The sequence below is a fragment of the Homo sapiens genome, chromosome 3 (assembly GCF_000001405.40).
Source record: "Homo sapiens chromosome 3, GRCh38.p14 Primary Assembly".
Classification (NCBI taxonomy): domain Eukaryota; kingdom Metazoa; phylum Chordata; class Mammalia; order Primates; family Hominidae; genus Homo; species Homo sapiens.
In genome coordinates, this window is record NC_000003.12 from 100,761,063 (window position 1) to 100,777,602 (window position 16,540).

The 16,540-nt window shown below is 38.8% G+C and overlaps 1 protein-coding gene across 56 annotated transcripts in view; it reads right to left on the bottom strand.

Moving 5' to 3' along the window:
- The window catches only part of ABI3BP (ABI family member 3 binding protein), a 244,266-nt gene that overhangs the window by 11,907 nt on the left and 215,819 nt on the right, over window positions 1-16,540 (bottom strand). For all 56 annotated transcript variants that reach the window (XM_006713572.4, NM_001377332.1, XM_047447926.1 and 53 more), the window contains 4 exons: window positions 14,145-14,273; window positions 13,543-13,611; window positions 9,681-9,890; window positions 4,779-4,887 (listed from right to left, as the gene is read on the bottom strand). In XM_006713572.4, coding sequence (XP_006713635.1) covers window positions 4,779-4,887; window positions 9,681-9,890; window positions 13,543-13,611; window positions 14,145-14,273 — 517 coding nt within the window. The remainder of the gene's footprint in view (window positions 1-4,778; window positions 4,888-9,680; window positions 9,891-13,542; window positions 13,612-14,144; window positions 14,274-16,540) is intronic.

The following is a 16,540-nucleotide window of genomic DNA, read 5'->3' on the forward strand; positions in this document are numbered from 1 at the left end:
GTTCCCCTCTTTATGTCCATGTGTTCTCCTCATTTGGCTCCCACTTATAAGAGAACATACAGTACTTGGTTTTCTGTTAGAAGAGGACCTCTAGGTTAGAAATAAATGGAAAGTAAATACTGGGGAGGGTAGATGAGTACTGATTGAGCTGGATACCAATATCTACAATTTCTTTTTATTTTAGGAGTAAGGGGTGAGAGAGGGATCCCCTAAAGAGATGAAATTTGCCTGTGTTAACATCTCTTTTGCATCATTTGACTAAAACAATCACATCTCCCCACAAATGACACCCCCTTCCCTGTGCACATATGTAACCACAGTGCACTGCAGCTGGTAGCCAGGCTGGGGAGGCCCCTTAAGGCCACCTTTGGAGCTGCACCCAGCTGCACCTTTGGAGCTGCACCCATGTGGCTCTCTATTGACAAGAATGTCTAATGCCAGGTGTGGAGCTAAACTCTACCATTAGCAAAACAGCTGCTGGATGGTCCTTTGGACAATTTTTTGAGCTTCTGGCAGGCTAGATAAAAACCTGCTTATGTCATGAAAACAAGCAGGAGAAGGTTGGTATACACTGTGAAAGGAAAGGTAGGGGAATACTCCACTGTCACTCTGTTTCAGGATTAGGGTGTGAGCATTCAGAATTTCTAACAAAAGCACTCTATAGATCTCTAATCCCTGCCTTGTTTCTCCTGGGTTAAGTGTTGTAACGTGAAGCTCTACTCCACCCATGTCTGTGGGTAAAGTTTAGCCAGTAATTATCATCTGAATTCAGATCTCATGTTTTTTAGTCAGGACAAGTGATGGAAAATGCTACTAAAATAAATGATTTACATATATCTCCTAGTGTTGGAACACTGCTGTAATAATTCTTTCAGAAGCTTTGATCCATCTTCCAGTTATTCAAACAGGGAATTCCAGAACCTCATGAGGGAATTTTAACAGCTATAATTCAAAGTTTATCTATTTCAAAAATTCAACTTTGCCATACACTTTGATTCCAAATTTCCTCCAAGCATTGAAATATGACTAGAGTTATTATTATTATTTTTTTACAGCTAACAAGAGCCATGTGGTGGCTGCATCCTGTACATACTTCCTCTTTATTTTATGGTGTCTTTTATTAGTGTTAATCTTGGATCATGGTTGGGTAGAAGAAACACAATGGAAAGAAACCTTGCCTTAACAACTTAAGGTAGTATGAAAAAAGCTTTTCATACTATTTGGACACTAGTGATTTTATTATTCTGGCTGTAGCCTTGCTATCAGTAGTAAGTTTGAGAACTACTTGTGTGTCACCTAAATCATGTATATGGATTTGATGAGAAAGAAAAATAGTGTTATTGTTTTTCCTTTCCTTGTTGGCTTACCCCTTCCATCCTATTCTTTATCAAATTCTAGTCTCAAGTATTCTATGAAGCGTTCTCTCCTAAATCACAGAACCTTGGTATCAATCCTACACTTACTTGGTATGCTTTTTTTATGATCTCCAATTATTTAACAGGTGTTACTTTTGTTTCCCCAGATACTTTTAGGCTTCAGAAATCTCTAATTGAAATAATTTACCTCATTTTACTTTTCCATAATTCATTATTTTTTCTAATGGAGATTTCAATATATTTTAATATTTCAGCCCAAACATTTTTGCTCATTGAATCTCTGACATACCTGGTAAAAGAGATGTGAAATTCATTCAGAGGCTCATCGGAGGCTAGGATCTATTGAACTCCTTGACCACCATAAAGTTTCACATACTGAGGACTAAACAGTGTTCATGAAAGCACCTTTACATCCATATGTATTATATTTTTCCCCAAATGCAAAAATGTTCTTTACTTCAGACTACTGATTTACAACTCCTAAGTCATGATCCATTAGTTAGGGACTACCAATATAATCCTGGCCAAATCATTTATATGAAAATTAATGATTTTGATATCCTGATGGATTTCACTGAACCATACCAAATTCTTAAAATAATGTTAAGTAAGCCACATATAATAGACACACTGAATGACCTCAAATTAGTGCCAGTGGTAAAATTCGGCATGGGATCCTGATTTAGAAGGCCCTAAACTTGATTTAACATTGCTTTTTCCCAAAGCTAAATCTAGACGGGGGCTGGGCGTGGTGGCTCACACCTGTAATCCCAGCACTTTGGGAAGCTGAGGCAGGTTAGTCACCTGAGGTCAGGAGTTCAAGACCAGCCTAGCCAACGTGGAGAAACCCCATCTCTACTAAAAATACAAAAAAAGTAGCCGGGTGTGGTGGTAGGTGCCCGTAATCCCAGCTACTTTGGAGGCTCAGGCAGGAGAATCGCTTGAACCCTGGAGGCAGAGGTTGCAGTGAGCCGAGATCACACCATTGTGCTCCAGCCTGGGTGACAAGAGCAAGACTCTGTCTCAAAAAAAAAAAAAAGAAAAAAGAAAAAATCTAGACAGGCACTCCTCTGGGCTTTGCTAGTCTTGAGGTAAGGATAGGTTTTAGGGGTCCTCCTCAGAAGGCCCACTGACAAAAGACAGGAGCAATAAACAGGACATATAATGAGGGTGGGATAAAGAGGGCCATACTGTCTTTCAGTGTGAAGCAATTTCTAGAAACAGCTAGAATAAGTCCTAAAACAATTACAACCAGAAGCTACATGTGAGCCCCATGACCTGTGATTACAGAATAAAATGCATCTTAGCCCTGGGGCACTTTTCTCTACCTACTTCACCAGGCAGGTCAGATACCCAAATGGCACTCTTGCCAAGACATGAACAAAAAGTTATTTTTTATTAGATTTATTCCAGCAACTGTTGCTCAATATAAACAGGCTCAAATACTAAAAGTGATTATTCCGACTAAAAGCCAGAATGAAAACACAAATGAAAAGTGGGAGCAAGTCATCCTCCCAATTACCACCCTTCAGAGTCTCCCCATCTCCTGATCTGGCTTATAAGACCCTCTCCACCCTGGCTTCCCACTGTTTCCTTTGCCTCCCATCCACTTACCGTTACTCATGCTGAGGTAAAAATAGCCTATTTTTCACTGCACACAACCATGCCATTTTGGCCCTCCGTGTACTGACATACACTATTCTAACACTCTCTTTGCCTATAATCACCTGACTAGCTCCTTCCCACTCATACTTCAAGCCTCAGACCAGGTGTCACCTTCTTCAGGAAGATTTTCCTAATTTCTGATGACGTTGCGTAGTGCCTCCCACCCTGGGATCCCATAGCACCTTGGGCATGCTTCATTCAGAGTTCTCACTACTTTGTGTAGAATCCTTGGTCATTAACTGCCTCTCCTCTAGCCTTGAGTTCAAGGGCAGCCACCATGTTTATTCGTGTGTGTAGCCATACTTAATAAATGTTTGCTGAATGGAAATGCAAATGCAAACCTTTTACAAACAAATTGGGTTTAAAATGATACTGAAATAACTGTATTCAACATTCAGATCATGAGCTAATAAGTGCACTGTGAGAAGATCTGAGGACAGTCCAATTCAGAAAAAAACCACAGTGAACATTTAGAAACTGGATGCCTTTCAATGACTGTCTTGTACTTTACAAGTCACTTTTTATAAAGTGGAATAAAAAGCAGAAAACGGAAAAGCCAACTTTCATAAGCACAAATTCACCTATTAAAAAGTCCAAATTAAGTGACCTTTTCTTTCACTCATTCCTTCAAATATATTATGGCAAAACAGACTTTCTCCCCCTCTCGATCTAAGGAAATGCTAAGGAAACAGAACAAAGAGCAAATGGGCTTTTACTGACATATGCTTATTTTGGCTAAAAGTCTTTTAAGAAAATTAGCAGTTGTAAAATATATCTTAGAGAACTTTAAAGAAAAACCCCATGCTTGTGAAAGAAGTATTGTTTTTGCAGTATCGGACTAGTTTATACACAGTGAACTGCCTGTAGTGAATTAGATGGTCCTCCCTTTTCTACAAAAAGATCAGAAGAGTCTCCCTACTGTCAGAGCCAAAATAGGCTCTTTTGAGCGTCACTATCAATAACTAATTCAATTCAATCAATTGATGACAATGTGAACATTATGAAAAAAAAAAAAAACTTGGAACTTCCTTACTACATTTCTAGAAATGTCTAAGACACTTATTTTTCTTTCAGTAATAAAATGAACTAATAAAATGTTGGATATTTTAGATTGAAAAAAGAATCACAAAACTGTACAGCAATATGAACAACCTGGTATCAATGTGTAATAAACAGGGATACTTAGAAAAGTTATCAAACAACGTTAAAGATATGTAACTCTTGTCAAAACCCTATTTCATTTTATCCATGATAAAAGGTCCCAAAGCAAAGAATTGCTGTGCCTGAGACTAGTCTGTAGTTATTTTAAGTATTAACGCTTAAAAACTTTCACCTACATTTTGTCACAAGACTTTCCTTTTCTTGCCCTCTCCTTTCCAGCGTTTTAATTTTTTGGTGCTTCCCATGTAGTTTACATTATGCACAGTCCAGTTGTCACTGGTCCACAGACTTTTATTTTTGTATTTAATATCAACATTTGGTATCAGATGTTTTTTTAAAGATGTAATACTGTTAATTAACAAGACCACCTTGTCAGCAATTTTAAACCCACCAGTAATTCAAGTATTTGCAAAACATGACTCCAGAGGTATCTAGTGCTATATATAGAAAACCCAAGAGTGAAATGGAAGCTAGAGCCACCCTCAAGACAGAGAAGATGATTATCATTTCTTTCCCTTGTTGTGGTTATAACTTTTGCACTCTCAGAATTTACCTGGAATAGCACTGGTGGCTTACCTCGTGTTTGGTTTCAGATTTTCTACTGTGGAAAATGTCTGATTTGTCATTTGAATGGACTTGTTCTTCCCACTGAATGACCCATTTTCTCTGGATATAACTTCATATTCTGTAAAGCGAAAGAAGCCAACAGATACTTGTTTTTATTTCTTGGCTGACTTAATTGCTCCTGAAGCTAATAGCATAAAAAAGCCACTTACATAAAGTAAGCAATTGAGATGGAAGTTCTAGAGACATATTGATCTTACACATTGGCAATTTCCATATGGGGATGGTCAGCAGATGAAGGCTCCAGAAGCATTTTGGGATTTGTTCATTGACTATTTCTGCATTTCCTTTACCAGAGGCAAAGGAAGACCTGGTAACTGGTGAAGACCCATGCCACGCCTGTGGTTGCTTTGGATACATAGCCTTTGATTTTGTTAGGTGAGTCAGATAGTCTGCCGCTGCTGCAAAGCCCCATTTGGGGAAAGCACTGTAGGAGGAGTGGTGCCTGAGTAGACATGTTCTCTGCTCTATGGGCTTTAGAATATAGTTGGGGAAAAGGCTACTGGATACCTGGTATTGCTGCAGAAAACTTCTTTCAGTTGAGCATCACAGCACCAAATAGCAGCTAATCAAATAATAAACTCTACTTTTCTATAGTTCATTATTTTGAACTATAGGAGTAGTTGGTTTTTGTACTCGCTGCCTACATAAGTTATGCTCCCATGATTATTTTCCTTGTATTGAAAAACAAATTAATGTCCTTAAAGTCTGCATAGAGATCTGCCTAAATTTCACTTAAGGGCACATTTCTATGAACTTGCAGGGCTCATCAAAAGGGAAAGAAATTTAGAATAAGGGAATGCCATTTACACATTTGTTCATTGGATTTCTCTGCTCTCATTTGGGACTTAGCTTAATGCATGTGATGAGATGATACAGAGGACTAAAAAAGAACCAAAAACCCAAACAATAAACCCCACTCAAAATCAGCTCCATTAATATGAAGAAATATGCAAGTACTGGACATCAGACAAGGTGAAAAGGCTGCCAAAGATCTGGCAAGTTATATTAGGGATTTCTGCTGTTAGCACTGAGCCCAGTGGTATGAGATGGACATTGGAAATAAAATAAAAAACTAGAATAACCCAGATAGACCCCAATTCACCAATTCATATTTGGGGGAGGATTTTTTTTTGTTGGGGAGGCTCACTGCAACCTCCGCCTCCCGGGGTCATGCTATCCTCCCACCTCAGCCTCCCGAGTAGCGCACCACCACACCCAGCTAATTTTTTGTAGAGACAGGGTTTTGCCATGTTGCCCAGGCTGGTATTGAACTTCTGAGCTCAAGCGATCCACCCACCTCAGCTTCTCAAAAGTGTTGGGATTACAGGCGTGAGCCACTGCGCCCAGCCTTAGGAAGATTTTTCATTGCATATTTAAAATACCCCAAGAGGAGGATGATTTTTTCTGAACAATTTTGTATGACCATTCTTCCAAAAATTAAAAATTAAACTGGAAGACAGTGGCCATGGTTTCTGGATACTATTGGTGCAGCTATTAAAGTACTGATGACTGTTATCTAGTGCTGTCACTGAGACTTCTTTTTGATCCAAAACTATCTCTCAGCTGGCTCTCCGAACGGACTGGAAAGGGAGAGGAAGGGAGAGAATTCTGAATTAAAATCTGTCCATTTTATATTTTTTCCTCAGCTGTGAAGGGATATTTGTTAGAAAAAGATGGAAGGACTTAAAATGCAAGTAAAATTGATTAAAAAAAAAAAAAAAGGAAACCAAACAGCTTAATGGAAAGAAACAAATTAAGCCACCTGCCTTGAACTTGGTCTCAGTCCTCCCATCCGTGGAAGGTTAATAATATCTCTTCATACTACTGCTTATGGGGATTAAATTGGGTACAGGTGGAAAGTGCCTTGATAGTATTTTTCATAGATTTTGTTCAACAGGTGGTACCTATTATTATGCTGCTTTTATTATTATTTATCATCCTTGAGTTGTGGTTTGAAAATATGACTAGAAAAATTTTAAGATTCCAATAGGAAAGGTTCACGTGCTGCTAAATCACCAAAAGAACAATTTATATGACACTCCAGTTGGTTATGCACCAAAGCAACCACCTTCAGAAAGCATCTTTGGCTTGGGACATTCCTCAACTGTATGACATTCTTCTTAATATTAAACCTGCCTTTTAGTAGTTGAAACTTCTATTGCATGTCTTCTCTGATTTCCATTTGGCTCAAGTTTTTTTTTTTTTTTTTTTTTGAGACGGAGTCTCACACTCTGTCGCCTAGGCTGGAGTGCAGTGACGCCATCTCGGCTCACTGCAAGCTCCGCCTCCTGGGTTCACTCCATTCTCCTGCCTCAGCCTCCGGAGTAGCTGGGGCTACAGGCGCCCGCCACCACACCCGGCTAATTTTTTGTATTTTTAGTAGAGACGGGGTTTCACCGTGTTAGCCAGGATGATCTTGATCTCCTGACCTCGTAATCCGCCCACCTCAGCCTCCCAGAGTGCTGGGATTACAGGCGTGAGCCACTGAGCCCGGCCTGGCTCAAGTTTTAAAAGCTGATTTAATAATTTTTTTTATGGAAGATCAGAATTCTCAAAATGGATCTAGAAGCTTTCTTCCTAATTAAAAAGACATTTAGAATTTCAGAATTGTAGCTTTTGAATATACATTTGTCTTGTGCTTTGTAAATATATATTTCCCATTTTTTAATCCTTTCAAGTGCTAATACCTTTTCGTAAATCCACCATTACAAAAATTGCTCCTACCGATAAACATTAACAATTTCTAGTTTATGCGGCATATTCAAATATCTTATTTTTCTCCTCAGGATAAATTGATAACAATGAGGATTATTATTATTATTACACCTAAGGAAACTAAGGCTCAAACAGTCTAATTTTATACACAAGTTGAGTATCTAAAATAAAGCTGGTCTGGGATTTAAATCTGTGTCAGCATGCTCTTGGACTATCAGATTATGATGCTGATAACTAACAACTTGAAGTTGCCCAAGGATCCAGGCTATGGCCAATTTTTTGGTGTACCTTTTTCTACTTCAGTATAGAAAGGACATGTAGAAGCAGCTGAAGCTGGATGTCTTCACTGGAGGTGAATATGTGTCCCCATCAACTCAAAGAAAGAAGCCAACTCAGGGGGAAGAATAGATATAACTCTATTATATCTCAGTTCCTTTTTGTAAAGTCAGTTCAAGAGATATAAGAATTAATCTCTATATTATCTGAGCTGCTGGTTTGTAAACAATCGCTTTTGAAATCAAGTGGTATTTAAGGGAACACTAAAACAAAATGGAATGAAAAACCAACAGGATTTTAGGGCAAATGGTCTAATGTTTAAATACGGACTAGGTGAACTATGGTTAAATACGAACTTAATTCTATTTAGGAAATTCTGCAGCTAAAGAGATGTGATCCTTGTCCACAAAAATTGTTATAAGTCCTCTGTATCATGTGACAGATCTCAAGCACCTCATTAACATTTAGTAACAGCATTACAAAAGCAGTTTGGTTAGATGGATAAAGTATACTCTATCCATGATTTTTTGAGATTAAACATATATACAATCAGAAAGGCCAATTCTTCAGCTTAATAAAGTTACATCGGATATTATGAATATATCCAAGTTGATGTGTATTCGATAATTAAATGTATTAGATTAACCAGTTCCAACTCAATGTTCCGTATCTTTAAGGCAAATGAAATTTTATAGATCATTTAGTTTCATGAGAACTAAGCCTCAGATGATCACAGGAACTCCTTACTAGCACAGTATATGAAGAGTTTTAGACATTTTAATGGATGTAGATAATCAGTACTGAGAGATTAATTGATTTTTAGATATTTGTAGTACCTATTAGCACAGTCCCAAGGAAAGAAGCAGGACTAGGAAAATCTCCAGGAACCATGGGTAGCAGTGGGTTCTTTCTCAAAACAAAGGCTAGCTTTGCATGAGAAAGGGAAACTCACAAAACGTGGTAAAGAAAGCTAGTTAAGATAAGCCGCTTACACTGGAAGTTGCCCAGATCCAATGGTTCTGTCTGAGGAGACATAGCTGCTGTTTTCCATGTGCAGTAGGAAATGTTTTTGGCAGATCCTGAGTCCCTGCATGCGCTACCTGGTCCTGTGCACTGCTCCTCTCCCTTCCTGATGGCCTCTTAGTTGACCCCTCTATTCCCTGCCTGCCTGCACCAGGTACATGGCAGGAACTTGGGTGGCAGGAATTCACTTACCATGCTATTTGCTATATCCTCTAGCTGATTTAGCTTGCTAGTCTTTTTTCATCCTCCTCTCGTTTGACTATCCTCTTCGTTATGGAGAATCAGACTGTTGTATAACAAATTCAGAGTGTCTTGGGGTTTCTTAGTTTTTACAATCATTTTTAGAGGAATTGGTGGGTGGTAACAGAATAAAAATTTCTTAAGATGAGAAGAAAATTGATCAGGAATAGAATTTTTGTTTTTATTTATCCTAAGACAGTTGAAGTAACCTTTAGTCTGCTAGAAAGTTCTAGGTCAATAAGAAATGGGGTTGGTGAAAGGAAAATTAGTTTTAAATTAATCAGCAATGTAATTTTCTGGATAATGAAAGACTAGCTTCTTCTTCATTGTGTGAAAAAGAGTTCTGAGAGGAGATGGAAAGAATGCAGCTTGAGGAGATTTACTAAATTAACAGGGAGACCATAACAAGGACAAAGATGATCTTTTCTCATCCTATGACATTGTTGACAATAATGTGCCTTAAAGGCAGCAAAACTGCTAGTTTTGTCTCCTCCCCAGGTATGCTTCACATGTCAACGTTGACCCAGGGTACCCCACTCCCAGGGTATCTTGTTATCAAAGCTTCCCACCATAACAGTCCTCATGCCATGATCTTACCAGTGACAGTGTCATTTAGTGGCTTTTCCCAGTCCAAGATGACAAATGAGGGGCACCCTTCCACGGTGACCACAGTGAGGTTGGTGGGTGGGTTCTGTGGTGGGCTGGTGGCATTCCCCTCTGTGGCCTCCTCTTTGGGGAACCGTTTGACAGAGTCAGTAATGGAGCAGGGACTGTTGTCAGGCTTTTGGATGTATCGCACATGAGGTCCTACGAGAGAGAGGACCCTTGACATTTAACATTTTTGAAACTCATGAAGAAGATAGAAGTGAGCTCATAAATATAATTTGAGGACATTTGGTCTCATATTATAAGCGGATGGTTGAAAGCCATGATGTGGATGGTTCAAACTAGGAAAATTCAAAATCTTGCCTCTGAGATACGTGATATAGGGTGGTGTTGATTTACTTACTGAATAAGTTTAGCTTATGCTAATATCCGAAAGTAATTTGATCCCCCTAAGCATAGTTTAAACTTCATACTTTATGGGGCACTGGGTCTTACCCTCAGTGGTAGGGAATAATTAGCTCTATACTAAACACAGTTCTGGTCCCACTCAATAAATTTTAAAAACTAGACTCAAAAGAATCAAGTAGCTTCAAGTATTTTACTGTATCCCAGAACAAAACTCAAGAATAATCTAGGAATAATTAAAAAAAAAATCCAGCACCTAAAAGGTAAAATTCATAGGAAAATATTACCTATAATAAGGAGAAAAAAATCAATCATTTGAAACCAATGTAGATCTCACATAGATGTTAGAATAATCAGATAAGAATTATACTTATTACTATAATCCACATATTCAAAAAGTTAGTAAAGACATGTATGATATTAAAAAAGACCCAAATCAAATTTCTAGAGATGAAAGCTATAAGACAGAAGATGCACTGGTTAGAATTAATACCTATAAGATAATACAGAATAAATGATTAGTGAACTCAAAGACATAGCAATAAAAACATCCAAAAAGAGGGAGAGAAGATAAACATTAAAAATAATGAACATCACTGAGCTGTGTGGACCATTTCTGGTGGTCTCATATACATGTAATTGGAGTACCTGAGGTAAAGAAGCGGGTGAGCAGAAAAAAATATTTTAAGAAATAATGGTCCCAAATCTTCCAAATATGATAAAACTTCTAAACCCATAGATCCAAAAAGCTCAAAGATACCTAGAAACAACAAAAATGTAGAAAACTATATGCCAGTCATAATCAAGTTTCTCAAAACAAGTGATAAAGAGAAAATCCTTAAAGGAGGCAGACCAAAAAAAGACATGTTGTATACAGAACAACAAAGATAAGGATTGTGGCAGATTTCTTACTAGAAAGAATGCAAGTGAGAGGCATTGAAACAGCATCTTCAATTATTGAAATAAAAGACATCATTTAGAATTTAATAAGTAGTGAAAATACCTTAAAAGCAAAACACTTTTTCTAGACATACAAAATCTGTAAGAATTTATTTGCCAGAAGGCCCACACTAAAAGAAATATTAAAGGAAGTCTTTCAGGTAGGAAGGAAACAATGCCGACAGAAATATGGAGCCACACAAAGTGATGAAAAGCGCAGTGACAGTAAACACATAGGTAACATACACAATGTTTTTCTTATTATTTATCTCTAAAAAATAGTTTACTGTTTAAACATAAATAAAAACACCTTACGGTAATGTATATAACATGTAAAAGTAAAATGTATGACAATAATAGTCCAAAGGCCAAGAGGGGAGTAAAGCTATGCTAGTGTGAGGTTCTTATATGTGAAGTTGTAGATTATCACTAGACGGCAGATTGTGATAAATTAAAGATACATACTATAAACCCCAAAGCAACCATGAAAATAATAAAACAAAATTACAGTTAATAAGACAACAAAAAAGATTAAATGAAATCGTAACATACTCAACCTAAAAGAAGATTGACAAAGAGGAAAAAAGGGAACAAAGAATAGATGGGAAAAATAGAAAGCAAATAGCAAGATGAAGATTTAAATGTACCAATATCAATAGCCATATTAAATGTAAGGTTCTACACACCCAAAATAAAATGCAGGCTGGGCGTGGTGGCTCATGCCTATAATCCCAGCACTTTGGGAGGCCGAGATGGGTGGATCACTGGCAGTCGGGAGTTTGAGATCAGCCTGGCCAACATGGTGAAACCACATCTCTACTAAAAATACAAAAACTATGGGGATGGTGACGGGCACCTGTAATCTCAGCTGCTTGGGGAGGCTGAGGCAGGAAAATCACTTGAACCCAGGAAGCGGAGGTTGCAGTGAGATGAGATCACACCACTGCACTTCAGCCTGGGCAACAGAGCGAGAGTCCATCTCAAAAAAAAAAAAAAAAAGAAAAGAAAAAGAAAAACTATTCTGAATAGCTCCATACCTATTAAAGAAAGTGAATTCTACTAAAAATTGATACACCGAGCTTCATTAAAATTAGAAGACACACACTGGGAAAAAATATTTTCAAAGTATGTATCTAAAAATGGTCTTGTATCCAGAAAATATAGATTCTCAAAATTCAACATTAAACAAGCAACTCCATTTTTTAAAATGGGCAAAAATATTGGAAATAGCAAAAAAGATATATAGATGGCAAATAAGCACATAAGATGTTCAATGTTATTAAGTGGTTGCAAATTAAAACCATAATCAGATACCATTACACACCTATTAAAATGGCTAAAATAAAAAAGACTGACCATAACAAATGTTGGTGAGGATTTGGAGGAACTAGAACTCTCATCTCTGCTGATAGAAAGGTAAAACAGTACAACTACTTTGGAAAACAGTCTTTTAAAATGTTATATAAACACTTATATGTCATGTAGCCACCCCTTCCTAGGTATTTGTCCAAAGGAATGAAAGCATATGGCTATACAAAGACATGTACATGAATGGTCATAATAGCTTTATCAGTAATGTAAAAGAAATACCAATGCCACGAATGCATTTACTAAAGAAACAAATTATTGAATATCCAAATAATAGCATGCTAGTCAGCAATAAAAAGGAATGGACTACTGATATACATGCAGCAACATAGAGAAATCTCCAAATATTTATGCTGATAAAAGAAGCCTGACAACAAAAAGAGTTCATACTGTATGTTTTCATTTATATAAAATTTCATAAAGTACATACTATAGTATGGCAGGCCTGTTGCCACGTAGGCACTGGGGGGTTGAGTGGGAGGAATAAGAGAAAGGGATTGCAAAGACACATGATGAAACTTTTGGAAGTTATATATGGGTTATTATCTTGATTGTGATGATGGTCTCATGGGTGTATACATATATTAAAATTCATCAAATGTTACATTTCAGAAAAAAAAGGGCTCTATGTCATATTGTATCTCTCCTACTGTGGTAGATTGTTGTTCAAAACTATTCTTTATGTCCACAGGAGAAGTATTCTTCCCCAATCCTTGATTTGATCTTGGCTGTGTGACATTTTTTGGCCAATGGACATTGGTAGATATGACACAAAAAGGAGCTTTAAATGTGGTTTTGCATTTGGACACCCCCTTTCTTGATTTTGCATTATTACGAAAATGGCTTCCCCTGGGTCACTGTTGGTTGTTCATCCTGGGAATCAGAGTAAACACATGTGGGGTGGACCTGAGTCCAACCCACAAGAGGCCTAGCTGTACCTGCTGCTAGAAGCAGAACCACTAAGCTAAACATATCCTAGATCAGCTGACACCCAGTTGACTTGCAGACACCCATGAAAAATAAAACCTTATTATTATAATAGGCTACTAAGATTTGTGGTTTTTTACACAGCAATAACTGGCTGATACACCTACCAAAAATGGCCTTTTCAAATGTGAGATTCACAGCCAGTCATACATACCTTTGAATCTTGGCTTCCCAAGAGGATCAGTTTCTCTTGTTGGGCTTGAGCTAAAGTCAGTTATATTTTCTGAGAATGGAAAATAATGAACAGTTTTGGCAAAAGATAAAAAAGCTTCACAATACAATGAAAAAGTTGTAGACTAAAGATATTCAATATTTCTTCTTGTAAACTGCTTGCAGTTTTGATTTTTTAAAATTATACATATTCATCCACAATATAAGGCCATTAGTTGTGTCCTGCTGCAAGGTGTTCTATAGTGTGAGTAATGAATTACAAATTATAACCAAGTGGTTAATATGCACTAATAACTTAAGATATGTGTAGTTGGTAATAATGTGATTTAGTAGTAGCATTAGGTAGTCTAGATCTTTTTATGAACCAAAGTTACGCAGTTTCTTCTATGTCTGCTAAGGGAAGGATAATACTCTATAAGGGAGTGTTGAAAATAAGTATTATTTTAAAATTAAAAACAACCATATTAATCATAAAATGGAGTAAAATAGAAGACCTCAAACTGAGACTCACCCATCCCCACCAACATTTAAAATCTTTTGCACCTCACAGCTAAGTATCCAGTGAGAACTGATGGCCATACGAACCCAGTTCTTCTCCAGAGGCAGGAACTGTTGGTTGCTTTATATCTGTCTCTATTCTCTCCAAGGGAGTTCCAGTAGGCCTGGGTGTTGACCTCAGGGGTGGTGTAGTTATTGGGCCTGATGAAATGATTCCTGTAAAGTAGAGCCAAAGTAGTCAGGCTTTATAGGAACACTGCCAAGTTTCCTATAAACATTTATTTATTCCATAAATGTTTTTAAGCACTGACCATGTGGCTTGGCACTATAGACCAGGCTTGGAGAGAAAACAAGACCTGATTCTTGGTGGAGATAGATGTATGAGCCAAGTATATCAGAGCATTATTATAGACATTGTGAAAAAGTACTAGATAACATCACAGAGGGGGCGCGTAAGAAGAGGGAGTGGTTATGTCTGTGAGGAAAGATGGAGGGTTGTCGGTTTGGAGTGGGCAGAGAAATGCCTTCACAGAGGATGTGCCAATAGAGGAGAAGTTATTGGTAGGTAGAGACAAGAGCAGTATTATAGACAGAGGTTATAACAAGAAACATGTCAGGGAAGCATGCAACAGCCTGGTGTGTTTAACTTGAAGGGGTACAATAAGAGCTGAGAGTGGAAGGGCAAGGAAGGGCAGATCATGAAAGAAGTTGAATACCATGGATTTGGATGTTATTTTTAGGGACTGAGTCACTTGTGTAGGCAAGAGAAAGGAAGGTGTACTACAGCAAAGGCAGTGGGACAGGATGTAAGGGGTGGACATGAGAGCTGTCAGGAGACTCAGTGGCAGGCATGGAAGATGGCTACAGAAGAAGGAAAAAGATTCCTAGGGTTAATGTCCATGATTCTGGCCTGGTGGCCAGTATAGTGCTACCCTGATTGCTATATTCAACAGTGACTCCTCCACTCTTAAAACACTTATAAGTCCCTAAAACTGGATCCATCCCAAGGTCCAGGCAAGTCTGGGTGTTTGGAGTCGAAAGGAGACTAGATTGAATTTTATGTTCCACCGGGGAGAAGGAGTCACTTTTGGGCAATAGAGAGTCAAGGGATACAAGCCTGACCCAAGGACTATGACCCAGCATGGAATCAGGGCTGAGTAGTCAGAAGGGCCTCTGACCTGGCCTCCAGGGATGCATGTTCCTGACCCTAGTGAGTATGAGCCACAATAAGAGGTCAAGCAAAACCCAAGAGAAGTTGCACTGCAGTCCACAAGGGCTTTCCAGAGTTGACAGAGACAACAGGAAATGCTGGCATAGCATAGCATTTTCATTCTGGTGAGGAGAGTGGGACTCAGAAGCCTGGGTGGATCTGGAGATTGAGGGCAAGTGGCACATGTCACATGGTGGCAGCCCCAGACTGTGTTCACAGACACATGTGAGAGAGCCTCAGAGGACTCCAGGACATTGGACTGGAATTCAAGATACACTTTCTGTGATGCTAATCAGGCCAAATCTGTACCAGTGCCCTCAATTATGGTTTGGCTCCTCAGTGCAGCCATTTCCCTTGAGTTAGAGGTGAATGGTGGAGGGTGAGGGTGGAGAGCAGGGACTAGGGTTCATCTCAGAAGTGGAATGTATTTACAGTTCTTCTTCAGGCTGGGTGGGCTGTACCAAAGCTATGTTTACTGACAGGAGAGAACAAGGGTTTATATGGCAGGCAAGAAGGCCATCAAACAGCTCCTTAAGGCACACAGCCTCACAGCATTGCTCTGGAGGGGGCCCCCAAGTGGCACACTCAGGCATCACCCTGTGGCTCATCCAGTCTGATCTGCAAGCTGCTGGAGCTCAAGTCACAGCTGCCCCAGGTTACAGTAAATGGGGAAACCCGGTCTCCTAGCAAGGCCATGTCACTGGGCCTTGACTCAGAAAGGCACCAGAGGTATGGATGGGAGGCTGCTTCCTCCTTCAGCCCATGGGAAAATGACCTAGAGTTCACTGTGCACATGGGACGTCCTACAAGCTCCATCACAACAGCCTCCTTTCATCCTGTGAGAACAGTGACATCCACTCCCTTTCATGGCGATCCTCATCAGTTTCATCTTTCACAGCTGTTTTAACACTCTTATCCCGATTCCACCTACAAAATATTTCGGAAGTAGTGTTCTGGAGAGAGGGAGGAAAGATGGGGAACATGCTGAAATTTGCTGGCATGTCCTGGGTGAAGAACCCTCAGTATGAGGTAAAGCTTCTGTCTGAACTAGGTCAATTTTACTGACTCAATTTCATTCCTTTATTCACTTTGTTATTACTCATCAAATATCCTCTAAGTGCTAAGCACTGGATTTGGTTCTGGGAATTCAGAGAAAAAAAACCAAGGACTTTGTCATCACAGAGCTCACAGTCTATTGGGGAAGAAAAGTATGCAAACAAACAGGTCTGACACAATTTTCTCTTTGCTCTAACAGAGGGGTATGTCAAGGACA